Source organism: Homo sapiens, chromosome 4 (assembly GCF_000001405.40).
Source record: "Homo sapiens chromosome 4, GRCh38.p14 Primary Assembly".
NCBI lineage: Eukaryota > Metazoa > Chordata > Mammalia > Primates > Hominidae > Homo > Homo sapiens.
The window spans coordinates 44985740-45000789 of NC_000004.12; the positions used below are offsets into that span (position 1 = coordinate 44985740).

The 15050-nt window shown below is 41.9% G+C and overlaps 1 pseudogene; it reads left to right on the forward strand.

Moving 5' to 3' along the window:
• Positions 1-8485: 8485 nt before the first annotated feature.
• LOC100533736 (endogenous retrovirus group FRD member 1, envelope pseudogene) lies at positions 8486-10480 on the forward strand (annotated as a pseudogene).

A 15050-nucleotide genomic window follows, 5' to 3' on the forward strand; every position in this document is an offset into this window, starting at 1 on the left:
GTAACAATGCATTATACAGTGATACTTTCAAGACAAGTTAGCAGAATAGTGTTACTAAAAAACTTGCAGCATCTGTAACACACTATTAGACAGTATGGCTTGAGTAATGAAAATGGAAAATGTGTTATTTGAACAGATGTTGCAGCTATATTTGGAGAGATGTAGCCACTAACCTATGTATATATTTATCTTCAAATGGCCAGACTGACCCTGCTTGAACGTGAAGAAAATCCTTCTTAAGAGGCACACCGAAATTCAAAATAGTTTCTGCTGTGTCCTTGCTAGAACTTGCATTAAAGTGAGCCTAGCAGAACAACCCCGAAAGTTGATGATTCATAAATGTCTTGAAAGATTTTGAAATTTCATTTGAGTATCACGTTATGGAATCCAAATATAGTTTTGTTACAGTAGGTAGCTAGTCAGACAAGAACAGGGCAGGAGAGGGCTCCCTCACCTCAAAACACACACAACAGGAATGTCAGATGTCAGGCAACCATCAGATGATGGTCCGGCAGTTGTTAACTGTCTTTTTAAAATAATAATTGGTCACAGCCAGCAGCAGGAACAGTCTCCCAATAAACAGAAACACCTGAAGCTGGTAATCAGCAACTTCCGGATAAGATCTCAGTAGTTGGACCAGGCGTGGTGGCTCATGCCTGTAATCCCACCACTTTGGGAGGCTGAGGCAGGTGGATCGCCTGAGGTCAGGAGTTCGAGACCAGCCTGGCAAACATAGTGACACATTGTCTCTACTAAAAATACAAAAAAAAAAAAGAAAAAAGAAAAAAGAAAACCACGTAGCTAGGTGTGGTGGTGGGTGCTTGTAGTCCCAGCTACTAGTAGGAAGGCTGAGGCAGGAGAATCGCTTGAACCAGGGAGGAGGAGGTTGCAGTAAGCTGAGATAATGCCATTGCACTCCAGCCTGGGAAACAAGAGCAAAACTCCATCTCAAAAAAAAAAAAAGTCTCAGTAGTTGGGTGAGTGGGCTCAAGCATGCACATTGAGAGGCAAAATGGCAGAGTTTAAGTGGTATATGACCTTGTAGGGACATTTGACTGATAAGAAAAAAATGCCTCAAGTAAGCATGCGTATAGCTCCTGTAAACACACTGCATATGTGACCCCTCCCAAGTGCTAGCAGGCCACTGTGCATGCAGACAACCTATCCTAAAGGAAGAATCAGAGAAGGGATGCAACACCCCAGAAGTATGCCAACATATAAAATCCTAAGTCAAAGGTCAAACTGCACCCTTGATCTCTCAAGTTGCCCACTTGGCCCTCTTCCAAGTGTAATTCCATTTATTCCTGCTCTAAACTTTTTCATAAACTTTTTCTCCTGCTCCAAAACTTTCCTAGGTCTTTCACTCTTCCTGATGCCCCTTGGTCAAATTCTTTCTTCCAAGAAGGCAAGAACTGAGGTTGCTGAAGACCCATATGGATTCAATCTCCGTAACATACTTTGGTATGTTACATAGGTTCCATACAAATGTTTGGTTTGGTAACATATGTTCCCCAGTGGTAAAACAGCTCTATGCCTTACCATCTTTGGTTGGTGGCATTCAACCCCATAAATAATTTTCTTCTCCCCTTTCACTCTCCTGCTTACCAACCCCCAGGATGACTCCTTTTGGCCACAGTGGTTCTGCTTGCTCCAGCTGATATCTCAGCTCACCCTGATGGGTGGTTGTTGGTGTTGGGAAGGACCTTGGAGTCTTCACTGAATATAACTGAGCCACTAATGGCCCTCCTGGGCAGGAGGCTTCTGAGAGTGTTAGGACTAAAGCCTAAAATTGTGAAATGTCTGGGGTTTCCTCTGCTTTTTCAACTAAAGTTGGCTCTTTCCCATAAACCCACACCACCTATCCACCTATTCTCCTGTCCTCTCCTCTCCTCTCCTCTCCTCTTTTCTTTTCTTTTCTTTCTTTTTTGACAGAATCTCGCTCTGTCACCCAGGCTGGAGTGCAGTGGTGCCATCTAGGCTCACTGTAACCTCCGCCTCCCAAGTTCAAGCAATTCTTGTGCCTCAGCCTCCCAAGTAGCTGGGACTACAGGTGCACACCGCCATGCCCAGCTAACTTCTTTTGTATTTTAGTAGAGACAGGCTTTCACCACATTACCCAAGCTGGTCACAAACTCCTGAGCTCAGGCAATCCACCTGCCACAGCCTCCCAAAGTGCTAGGATTACGGGTGCGAGCCACCATGCCTAGCCTATTTTCCTGTTTTCTCTGTGGGTATTCTAAAATGGGCCTTGTGCACCCACTGGACCATCTGACTCAGGGGCCAATCTGTGTCTTTGCTTTCACTTCATATGCCACGTGACGTCTTAAACACACTTCATGTTATTCATGTGCCATCAGCTCTTGGTGCATTTGTGCAGCAGCAAAGACTCACTTGCAAATATTCCCTGGAACTTATACTTGTTTTTACCCTACCAGCTCAGATGGCTTCCAACCCTTCCCCTGTCTGCTGGCACGCTGCCAGGACAGACACTAATTGGAACTCCAGCTCTGCCGACAACTTATGACTTACCATATGCTTTTCATTCCTGTTATGCCCCAGGACCAAGTTTTCTGGTGGCTTTTGAAGGCGTTTGTCTGTCTGCATAGGGCCTCACTCTGTAGCCCTTTAAAGATCCCACTTACTTGCTTTTTTCAGTTAGCACCCCTTTGGGAGGAGGGAAAAATTCTTCCTTTGCTATTTGCGACTTCGTATCCCAAGCCCCAAGACTTCTGGAGGTTACTACTCTATGTCAAGAGGACAAATAAGCATTGATCTCTCAAATCCAAGAGCTGCTGTTTTGTGAGTATATGAAGCCTTTCCATGAGTATCCCTCTCACTTCCTCCTGTAGCCTCCATTTCTCTAATTACTACCATGCCCTTCCCAACATTCATCAAGACATTCAAGGTCATATTTGAAGGGAGAGAAGTTTAGTCCCCTTTCATCAGTTAATTGAAAAACAGGCTTCTCAGATGAGAAGCTTAAAGACCATGGGAAATGGGAATCTAAGAAAAGAGGTAATCATTTTGAGGCTGGAATGCTTCGAGTAAGAGTCACTATAAGGTGATGGAGACAGGGATATAGGCTGGCCCAAGGTTGCCGGCAGAAGAAACTCATAGGACAGAGATGAAGGTCGGTCCCAGGCTGAAAGATTATCATTAGAACAGAGATGAAGGCAAGGTTAGGGGTATATGGTAAGACCAGTTTATTCAGAACCTGAAGGAAGAACAGGACAGGGCCCACTGTTCACTTTGGTATCTCTTCTCAAGTGGGTAGTTGTGATGAGATGGGACCAAGGATAAGGGAACATGGTAAGACAGGTTCATTCCAGAACCCAAGTCACAAATGGGGACACCTTATTAAAGATAATATGAAACTAAGAGGGGATGCCTTCTTTTTCCTTTTTCTTTCTTTTTTTCTCCTCTGTTCTGTCTTCACAGATGGGTAATTATGGCTCCATACCACAGGACACAACCCTCGCATGCATCCTCAATTGAGGATGCATGCGAGGGGTGTGTCCTAAAAAGTAAATGACTAGTGTTTTTCTGTAACACAGCCTGTGTTGAATACAAGCTTGAATACAAGCTTTGGGACCAGGAATTTTGGCTGGAAAATGGAAGCCTAAATTTTAATATGATCTATCAACTAGATTTGTTTTACTACCAGAAAGAAAAATGGACAGAACCCCTATGTACAGGCCTTCATGGCCCGAAAAAACAACCCTGCCCTTTGTCAGGCTTATAAAATTGATCCAGCAATGGTAGTGGCCATCATTAGGCAGCCGCCTGCAATTGGTTCAGGACATCCATTATTGAGTTTACTCAGGGCTGAAGCACCAGAGGAACCAAGAGCAGAGTTTAGCTCAAACCCCACTGTCCTTTCTACCCTGTTATATCCAAATCTCCCAGCCCCAGAAACTTCCCCTCCCTACCCAGGGTCATCCTCTGGAAATCACCCCCTTAAGTTACGCCCTCTTCAAGAGGTTAGTGGCCCCAGTAGACCCACTAGAGTCCAGACTCCATTCACTATGCAAGACCTGAGCCAAATTAAAACAGAACTAGGGAAGTTTATAAAGGACCCTGACAAATATATCAAAGGGTTCCATAAACTGGGCTTAACATTTGAACTCACCTAGAAGGATTTATCAGTCATATAGAGAAAACTCCGTCTAAGAATATGACTCCATTATGGAGGGGGCCAACAATTTGCAAATTCAATGCATATAATGGTTCCTGGTGGCTACCCTGTGGGATCCACTGCAGTTCCCCAGGTCAACCCCAATTGGTATTACAATACCCAGGGGGGTATATGGGCAAAGGACCACATGTTCATCTGTCTGGTAGAAGAGTAAAAGCTAGAATAACAAAGCCTGTGACCTCTAATAGATTGGCCTTAATAGACCAAGCCCATCTTGAAAACCCATTGCTGTCCTAGAGAGGCTACAAGAGACCCTAATGAAACATACCAACATTGACTCAGAGACACCAGAAAGGCAACTGGTCCTAAAGGACCATTTCCTAACTCAGGCAGCCCTAGATATTCAGAGGAAACTCCAAAAGCTCACACTGGGCCCTGATATCCCTATGCTTGACATCCTCAGACTAACTTCCTTGGTCTTTTACAACCAGGACCTGGTGAAAGAGGAAAGGGCTCAGGAAAAGGAGAGGCAAAAGGAAAAGCAGCAGTTCCAACTACTTGCTGCCCTACAAGTCTGCTAAGCCCCTTGAGGTTGCTCTTGGAATATCTTCCCAGGCAACTGCTGTCAGTGTGGGAAGCCAGGCCACTGGAAGGCCAATTGCCCCAATGAGATAGATGGGAAAAAGCCCTGAACAGCTTGGCTCCTCTGCCACAAGCTCGTCCCCTGAAAACAGGACTGCCCTGAGCTCTGAAGGAACCCTGGGACAGAATCCTAATCCCTGATAGCCTTGAGCTGAAGAGGCCCTATGCTCTGGTTGGCTCCTGGATCAAACTTCACTATAGAAGAGATGGAGCCAAGGGCTGCTTTGGATGTGGTAGGTAGAAATATAAGTTTTCTTTTGGACACAGGAGCAGCCTGCTCAGTGCTTATCTCTTTTACTGGGCAATTATTCTCCAAATTCCCTCAGCTGATGGTAGTAAATGGGGCACTCATAACCTGGAGGTTTACTCCTCTTCTGTGGGGCCTGTGTGTGGCAACTGTTTTTTCTCACTCATTTTTAGTGATGCCAGAATGTCCTATGTCCCTTTTGGGTAGAGATATTTTGTTCAGACTAGGATCTCAGTTAACCTTTCCTCCAGGACCAGCACACCCTTTTCCAAATACAATCTTAGGCCACACACACACACACACACACACACACACACACACACACACATGTATGAACTGTGCACAGGCCTTCCCATTAATCCAGAGGTCTGCCCCCCAGGAATACCAGGAAAGGCCATAATGGCAATGCCTATAGTAATTCAGCTCAAGAATCTTCCTGCTATCCTGTAGAAGGCTGTTTCCTCTTCAGCCAGAGGAGGAAAAGGGACTTCCACCCATGATTGAAAAATCTGTAAAACATGGATTATTAATACCCTGTAACTCACCCTGTAACACCCCTATCTTACCTGTTAAAAAGAGCAATGGAACAATGGAGAATACAGGCTAGTCCAGGACCTGCAAATCTTGAATGAGGCAGCAGTCTCAATACACCCAATGGTCCCCAATGCATATGTAATTCCAGGAGAAGTACCTCCAGAGGCTCAGTGGTTTTCAGTCTTAGATCTCAAAGATGCTTTCTTTTGTATCCCCTTAGACCCATCATCCCGACTTTTATTGCATTTGAGTGAGAGAATTAAAAAGGAAAGATTCAACTGGACAGTGCTTCCACGAGGTTACAGAGATAGTCCCCATTTGTTTGGGCAAGTCATGGCTAGAGATTTGCAGGTTCTAACTCTTAAGGGGAGAGGGTGTCTTCTATAGTATGCAGATGATCTGTTAGTCTGTTCTCCCACAAGAACATTAGGAATCCAACATCTAGTCCAGACTTTAAGTTTTCTTGCAGACAGAAGGTACAAGGTGTCCAAAGCCAAGGAACAGCTACTAACACAAGAGGTCTAATACCTGGGAATGATCCTTACCCCTGGAGAACATAAGCTCTCTCCGGAACAGATAAAGTTCATCCTTAGAATACCTACCCCAACCACTTGAAAGCAATTTCGGGCTTTTCTAGGGATCACAGGATATTGCAGACTTTGGACACTGGGATATCGTGGAATTGTTAAGTTCTTATATCAGGCTCCAAAAGAAGGGACTGATAGGGACCCACTTCAGTGAGAAAAGGATCAAGAGCAAGCCTTTAGGCAGCTAAACACTGCTCTCTCACAAGATCCTGCCCTTGGGCCACCCATACTAACCAAATCTTTTCATCACTAAGAAGCAAGGTGTAGCCCTAGGAGTTCTAACTCAAAGTGTCTGGCCAATCAATCATCCTGTAGGCTACTTTTCAAAGAATCTAGACCCAGTAGCATAAGCGTGGCTACATTTTCTCAAGGTAGTGGCTGTAGCAGCCCTCTCACTTGAGAAGGCCCTCAAAATCATGATGGGACAGTCAATCTGGCTCCTGATGTTCCACAAAATAGGCCCTTCATTGGACATAAAGGAACCACAGTGGCTCACTGACAACAGACTGATCAAGTACTAAGTCTTGTTGTTAGAAAACTTGAGCAGTCTGTTGAGTGGCGTTCTACCCTTAACCCAACCTCCTTACTCCCACTACCAGGAAAGGATGACTCAAAACATGCGCATTGTGAGATGCTTAACCAAATTTATGCCAGTCTGTAAGACTTAAAGGATCAGCCCCTAGATAATCCAGATAGAATATGGTTGTCATATTGCAGTAGCTTTGATAGGAATGAAATCAGATAGGAAGGGTATGCTATAGTGTCCCTTCACCAAGTTATAGAGGCTAAAGTTCTGTCCCTGGGAACCTCAGCACAACTAGCCAGACTGATTTTTCTGACCAGAGCACTAAAACTAGGGCAAAAAAAGAAGAATAGCCATGTGTGTGGATTCCAAATACGCCTTTCTGGTGCTTCCTGTGCACATGGTTATCTGGAAGGAAAGTGGGTATCTAACACCTTGGGATATTCCTATTAAGTAAGGGCCTCAAATATTAGAGCTAGTAGAGGCTGTTCAGTTGCCCCAGGAAGTGACAGTAGTGCACTATAAAGGAGACCAGAAGAACTCTGATGAAAGTGCATGGGAAATAGGTTAGCTGACCAAAAAGCTAAAGACACAGCCATTTCAAACGATACCTTCATGGAGGCCTTATTCCCCTCTCTCCCCAGTGAACTTCCCCATCTCCAATACACTAAGGAAGAAGTAGATTGGGCCACTTTACATGGGTATAAAGAAGAAACTAACAAATTGTACAGGTTGGGAGAACTTCTCCATCTACTTAAAGCCTCCCAATGGAAAGTCATCAAGAGTTTACCTGACTCCTGGCACCTTGGAAAGGACAGTCTAAGGCAAATTTGTAAATGAGTGTTCAGTGGAAGGGACTAAATCTAAACAAAACTATTCAACAGGTTTTTTAAGCCTGCACCTTGTATACCATAAATAATCCCCAGAGATGGAATCCCCTTTCATTAGTAAGTTCAATCCGAAGTAGAGGTACATACCCTGGGGAGGAGTGGCAGATGGACTCCATTCAGCTCCCCACATTCTGCAGGTAAAAATACCTTTTGGTCTGTGTAGATGTCTTCACAGGATGTGTAGAAGCCTGCTTCACAAGGACAGAAAAGGCATGGGAATTAGCTAAATTCCTCTTAAAGGAACTCATTCCCTGATTTGGGCTCCCTGGGTCATTGCAGAATGACAATGGTCCATCCTTTATTTCCCATGTAACTCAACAGGTTAGTAGTTCCCTAGGTATAAAGTAGTACCTTCACACTGCCTGGAGACTGCAATCTTCAGGAAAAGTGGAGAGAACTAACCAAACCCTCAAACGCATCCTTAATAAACTCTGCCAGGAAACAGCATAGCCATGAGTGTGGACCTTTCACCTTTAGCTCTCCTTTGCATCTGTATTGCCCCTAACACTCCCTTGGAATAAAGGCCTTTAGAGGCCTTATATGGTAGACCATTCCTATATTAAGACTTATTACCAGATGAAGAAACTGCCAAAATCACCTAGTATGTCTCTTCTTTAGCAGGGTTCCAACAGGCTCTCCAGGAATATGGAGGAAACCTAAAATCAGAAGGGGAAAAATCCCCACCTCTGCATCCTCTAAGCTCACCAGTTCTGATTAAAGCCTGAAAGAATGCAACCCTGAATTCCCAACTAACTCCACTCTGGAAGGGCCCCTTCACTATTCTATTATCTCCTCCCATAGCCATTACAGTACCGGAGATTGCCTGCTGGATATATCATACCCAAGGGAAGCTGTGGAAAGGACCCCACACACCAGAGCCAGAAGAAACACCCACAGCTCCTGAATATACTTGCAAGGCACTGGAAGATCTGAAATTCCTCTTTAAGTGAAAAGATAAGTAATGCTTATTCACCTCAAAGTAAGGTGATCCCAATGTCAGGAATTTTACTTGCAATTGCTCTGATTGTTATCATTATTTTAACCCTAACCTGTACACCACCAGAAGTTTCAGCAGCAGCTTGCTTTGTGAACAATTTCTCTCTTTTACAATCACCATAGGTCGCTGTGGTCTGCTCCTGCTGGTTCTCATACTCACCACTTTATGAGTAGCATGCTATCATCTTGATTTCCCATGAGAAAATACTCGGCAATTGATCCAAAGCACGGGATTCCCTTCCCCACCAATTGCTTCTACTAAAACACCAGAGAGAGCTTTTCCAGCCTCGCCCAGAGACTGGACAAGCATACAGGTGGAATTACGTAGTTTCTATCAATGAGACCTAATCTGAAAAGGATGTTTGGACCTGCAAATAGTCTTCTTGCAAAAGTAAAGCAAGATTTCATTGGTATCTGCAGGGAGCCTCCCATTTTTGGGCCCATCTTTTCTAACATCGATTTAATGGCAGTAGCCTCTATTTGTGTTATAACCAAAAGCAAAAATGTAAAGAATGTAGGCACTCTTCCATGTACATGTTCTAACAGTACAGTTTGTAGTGTTACTTTCACTGTAGAGCCTAACCAACAGACATACCAAGCATATACCCATAGCCAATTCTACCATCAACCAAGATTCTCCAAACCTCCAGATATTACCTTTCCTTGGGGATCTTTGCTAGATAAGTCCACCCAGTTTTGTCAGGGATGCCCAATCTCATGCAGTACTCAAAATTTCTGGTTCCAGCCTGTTGTTTATAACCAATATCTGCAAATTGTCAATCTCAGCTCCACAGCAGAATGGATCCTATTAGACGAAACTCAAAATTCTTTTTTTTGGGAAAATAAAATCAAGGGATCTAAACAAAGCCAAACCTCATGCATCAAAGTATTAGCAGGCAAAACTGTAGCCACCAACTACCTGGGTGTGTCAGCAGTCTTGGAATTTTTTGGAACCTCCCTCACCCCCTTATTTTGTTTTAACATCCCTACTTCTCTTAAAACCCAAGGAGACTTCTATATTTGTGGCTAATTAGTTCACCAACGCCTCCCTGCTAGCTGGACTGGAACTTGTACCATAGGCTATGTATCCCTGGACGTCTTTATGGGCCCTGGTAATCTCTCTTTTACAGTACCAGTCTATGAGCATTCCATCTTGCCCAGGAAGGCTATCCAATTAATTTCCCTCTCCTTCTCATGAGACTCAGCATTATAGCCAATACAAGAAGTGGAATTACTGGAATCACAAAACCCTCCTTAACCTATAGCCAGCTCTCAAAGGAAATAGCCAACAACACTGATGCCATGGCTAAAACCTTAACAACCAAGCAAGAAAAAATCAACTCTTTAGCAGCTGAAGTCCTCCAAAATTGTCGAAGACTAGATACCCTAACAGCAGCACAGGGAGGAATTTTTTTAGCCTTACATGAAAAATATTGCTTTTGAGTAAATCAATTGGGAAAAGTAGAAGACAACATCAGACAACTCCTAAATCAAGCCTCCAGTTTATGGGAACAAGCCTCTTGAGTTGGCTAAATTGGGAAGGAACCTGGAAATGGTTCTCCTGAGTTCTTCCATTTTTAGGACCACTTGTTGGTCTACTTTTGCTCTTTTTTGGTTCATGTCCTCTAAATCTAATAATCCAGTTTGGCCCCTTTTACCTTCAGGCCATCAAGCTCCAGATAATCTTCAGTGAAGGATACATGCTTTCAATATTCAAGAACCATCCTTCTGCAGAGGACCCCTAGAGTGCCCATCAGTGGGACACGACAGAAGTGGCATTCTGCCCCTGTATCCCTTGGACCTAGCTAGATACTGCTTTCACCAGCCCATGGAGCTACCCTGCCCTGAGAGCTAGCAAGAGGCTAAGACCTACTGAACAACCACCACCACCCCTCTGTCAGCAGGAAGCAGTTACAGAAGACTGACATGTGTTCATTTTCCCAAAATAATTGGGGTCTTAGACTCCTGCGGGGGGGAATGTTACAGAAGGTAGCTAGTCAGACATGAGCAGAGTAGGAGAGACCCCACCACCACCAGAAATGTCAAGCAACCATCAAGTAATGATCACATGGTATTAAACTGTCTCTCTAAAATAAAAACTGGTCGCAGCCAGCAGCACCAGGGAAAGGCAGTCTTCCAACGGATAAAAAGACCTGAAACTCTTGATCAGCAGCTTCTCGATAAGATCTCAAGAGTTGGGTGAGTCAGCTCAATTCAAGCTTGTGCATTAACATGAAAAATGGTGAACTTTTACTGGTATATAACCTTCCAGGGACATTTGATTAGTAAGGGAAGAATGCCTCAAGTGAGCATGCTTACAACTCCTGTGAACACACTGCACACGCAGCCCCTCCCTAGTGCTAGAAGGCCACTGTACATCCAGACAGCCTATCCCAAGGGAAGAATCAGGAAGAGACACAAGACTCCAAAAGTATGCCAATTTAGAAAACCTTAAGTCAAGGGCTAAACTAGGCACTTGATCTCTCAAGTTGCCCACTTGGCCTCTTCCAAGTGTAGTTTACTTCCTTCTGTTCCTGCTCTAAACTTGTTAATAAATTTTTACTCCTGCTCTAAGATTTGCATCGATCTCGCATTGTGCCTTATGCCCCTCGGCCGAACTCTTTCTTCTAAGGAGGCAAGAACTGAGGCTGCTGCAGACCTGTACAGATTCACCACCAGTAACGGTATCACTTAGCAATAGCTGTTAAGTCTGTTAGTGAAGAAAGACATGAAAAATAAAGTAAAACAGTACATAATTTGAAAAGAAGAATACTAAAAATGCAACTGATTATCTTTTTATTCATGTACATGGCATGTTTTCCCATTTTTTAAAAATCTGTAGCTTTTATTTGGCAGATTTTTTTGTACTTTGTGGGTAGAAAGATTATTTCCTATTTAAATTTATGAAACACATTACAAACATTTTAGCACTTTAGTATATGAAAAATAGTGTACTTTAACCATAGCTATAGTCCCATTTCCATCAATGTGGCTAAGATGTAGAATACTTACTAACCAAGTGATTGTTTCATACTTCTGTATATCCTTTTGTTGATGCCATGAAAATCTGGAGAAATTTAATAATGTCATATTTATTTATATTCTTAAAATGAAGAATAATACAACAAATGTATATTAAAATTCACATCATATGGTTTTAAATGAAGCAAACGGGTATAGGTAAAGAGACTGTTCTAAATGTCAAGGCTGCTCTGTTACTTTTTAAATTAATAGTGATAAAATCATAATTCAAATACTTTTTTTGGCTAGTCTTATACTTTTCCATAGTTAAAAGTGTTTCTACTCTTAACAGGTGCAGTGTATTAGTTTTTATAATTTATGCCAAGCTGTCAAAATTCTAATTTTCAAGTATCATGATCTTTTTTACAAGTCCAAACTTATAAAGCATCTTTCTAGTGTTCACTGATATTTTTACTACTAATTTTCAGAAATGTATTGAATAGACACAATTTCCATTGTCCATGTTTTCATAGCATGTTGCTACATCTCTTTTATTTTGCAGTTTTTCCAGGTATACCAGCTATAGAGTCATGTCATTCGTTCTAGTTATCACAGATTTTGTATAAGCAAATAGTTTAGAAACTTTTTTTTTTTTTTTGACAGAATCTCATTCTGTTGCCCAGGCTAGAGTGCAGTAGCATGATCATAGCTCGCTGCAGCCTCAAACTGCTAGGCTCAAGTGATCCTCCTGCCTCAGCCTCCCAAATAACTGGGACTACAGGAGTGTGCCACCATGCCTGGCTGCTAATTTTTTTTTTTTTTCTTGAGATGGAGTTTCACTCTTGTTGCCCAGGCTGGAGTGCAGTGACACAATCTCAGCTCACTGCAACCTCCGCCTCCTGGGATCAAGCAATTCTCCTGCCTCAGCCTCCCAAGTAGCTGGGATTACAGGCATGTGCCACCATGCCCAGCTAATTTTGTATTTTTAGTAGAGACAGGGTTTCACCATGTTGACCAAGCTGGCTTCGAACTCCTGACCTCAGGTGATCCACCTGCCTCGGCCTCCCAAAGCACTGGGATGATAGGCGTGAGCCATCGCGCCGGGCCATATTTTAAAAAAATTTTTGTAGAGGTTGGGGGGGTCTCACTATCTTGCCCAAGCTGGTCTTGAACTTCTGGCCTCATGTAATTCTCCTCCTTTGTCCTCCCAAAATGCTGAGATTACAGACTGAAACTTTCTATTTTTTGAAAATGTAAAACAAGTTTGATATATAATCAACATTTGGCAAAAACTATATCCTTTACAAAGCCATGTTCAAATAGGTAAATGCATTCCTCTGCCTAGACTATGCTCATCTTGGGCTTGTAAAATAAAATTCCACTGGACAAAGTTAAACAGGTGAAGAAGACTTTATTCAAGATGATTGCAAAAAGAGAGAGATTGAAATCAACTCCACTTAAGCAAAAGGTGAGAAGGTTTTTAAACATTGGAGTGAACACATGGAAAAGTACTGGAGGGCTTTAGGGAGGAGATTAATCACTGGAATGTGTCCAGCACAATTGGTTATTCTGAGCTTGCATTTTTATTTTCTGTGATTAGGCCATTTGTGTTTGCTAGTTGGGACCCATGGAAGTTAGTCTCCTGCTCTCCCAAGGAGACTGGGAGGTAAGGGTGCTATTCCCTACAATGTTTATATTTCAAAGAGATAGGTCTTGGGTCACTGAGAAGGACATTCCTGAGCCTTAATACTGGCAAGAAGCTGGGAGAAGATTTACATACATTTCAAAGGGCAGAAAAATAATTTATGATTGCAAGTTTTCTAAAATAAATATTCTAAGAAAAGTTTTGTCAGGGCTCTGTAGTCAGGAAGAACTCTGTGTAAAGTTCAGTCAAGCTGAGGGAATCATGAAGGCTTCCACGGTTAGACTCAAAACGTTACTTCAACTTGGTTGCATGAACATTCGTTAGGGATGCTGGGACCTGCTACTCCTTTTTTGTAACCAGGACCCTTTGAGCCATGAGAAATTTAACACAAGAATGAGAATTTTTGGGGAGAGTTAACTGGCACAAGATACTGTTTACCTAAGACAATTAGACTTTATTCTAAGCTTGATTCAGAGAGACCCACATTCATAAACATTATACAACTAAAATATTTTAATAGCTATTTTTTTGTTCCCAAAGCTATGGCAGTGTACCTAAAAACAACAACAATAAAATGGAAAGAGGGACTTCAGATGCTGTCTTGTTTAAGTACCTTGCCTTAAATTTTGGTATTTCAAGGTATACTAGAGAACTAACAATACATTTTATGTTGAACACTGACAAAACAAATAACCTAAATTTTACAGCCAAAAAGAACTAGTTTTAGCTGAGGTTACTATAAGGATAAAGAGGACAATTACATCATGCAAATTTTGAGTCTTTCACAGTGAGTTAGCCCTAGAGTATCTTTGATGAGAATGGCAGAGAGTACGTTTTTTTTTTTCCAGAGAAGTAACTTTTTATAAATCAGATATGTATGATTATTAATACCAATTATTGTCAATACAGGTCTTCCTGATTTTCCATCCTAGTAATTATCATTGACACTAATTCAGATATTTTTACTTTCCCATTAACTTTCTACAATTTATGCAGGTCTCCAAACTTACATATTTATATCTGTTCTCCAAAGCCCTATTGCTCAATGTCATTATTGGGTTCACCCAAGTGCCTCATTCTTACCACATTCTAAGAACTGATGCCTTAGATCTGCTTCCTCTGTCCTTTAATGATCACGTTCTGCTCATCTCTTTAACCCTGCCACAGAGGAGGACAGCCCTCTGCAACATATATTTTAGTTTCTTACTTAAATGACTTCTTCCTTGCTTTTTAGAAAACAGACAGTAATGTTACACAATGTAAAGGAAATGGGTAAACTTTGAGAAAAAGCATCTATTAAAAACAAAACACCACAAAACAACTAGGGGGAAGAAGGAAGGAGAGTGTTGTTTCCAGTGTTATCATTATATCTGTGAATGATAAACACAACACTTTCTAGCATTGTGAGAGCTGTTTTCTCACCTGTGATGTGAAAAAAAAGACAAGGGAAGAAATTAAGAAATGCAGAAGTCAAATACAGAATCTACGCATTATTTTCTCTAAAATAGAGCCTATATATAGGAATATGAGAATTTTTAAAATCTTTTTTAACAACCATGCAAACTTGGAAAAGATATTTTTTAATATTAAAAGTGATTCACATAATATTTTATAACTAGCAGCTTGATGACTTGTTGTATCTTACCTTGTTCTTGTTCAGTATTTTTCCAACATGAGTTTGTTAGGCACTTAATTTTTGCCAGATATTATAAGAGATCATTGGATATACCATTATTTAGAAATGATTCCTGCCCTAAAGTAATTTATGAATTAGAAGTAAAGATGGTGAGAGAATAAGTAAATGTGATACAGAGAGATGAGTGCCTAATAAGGCTAAGTAAGGGAGAAGGGAACAATTACTAGCAAGAAATGGTGAATCAAGTGTTTGAG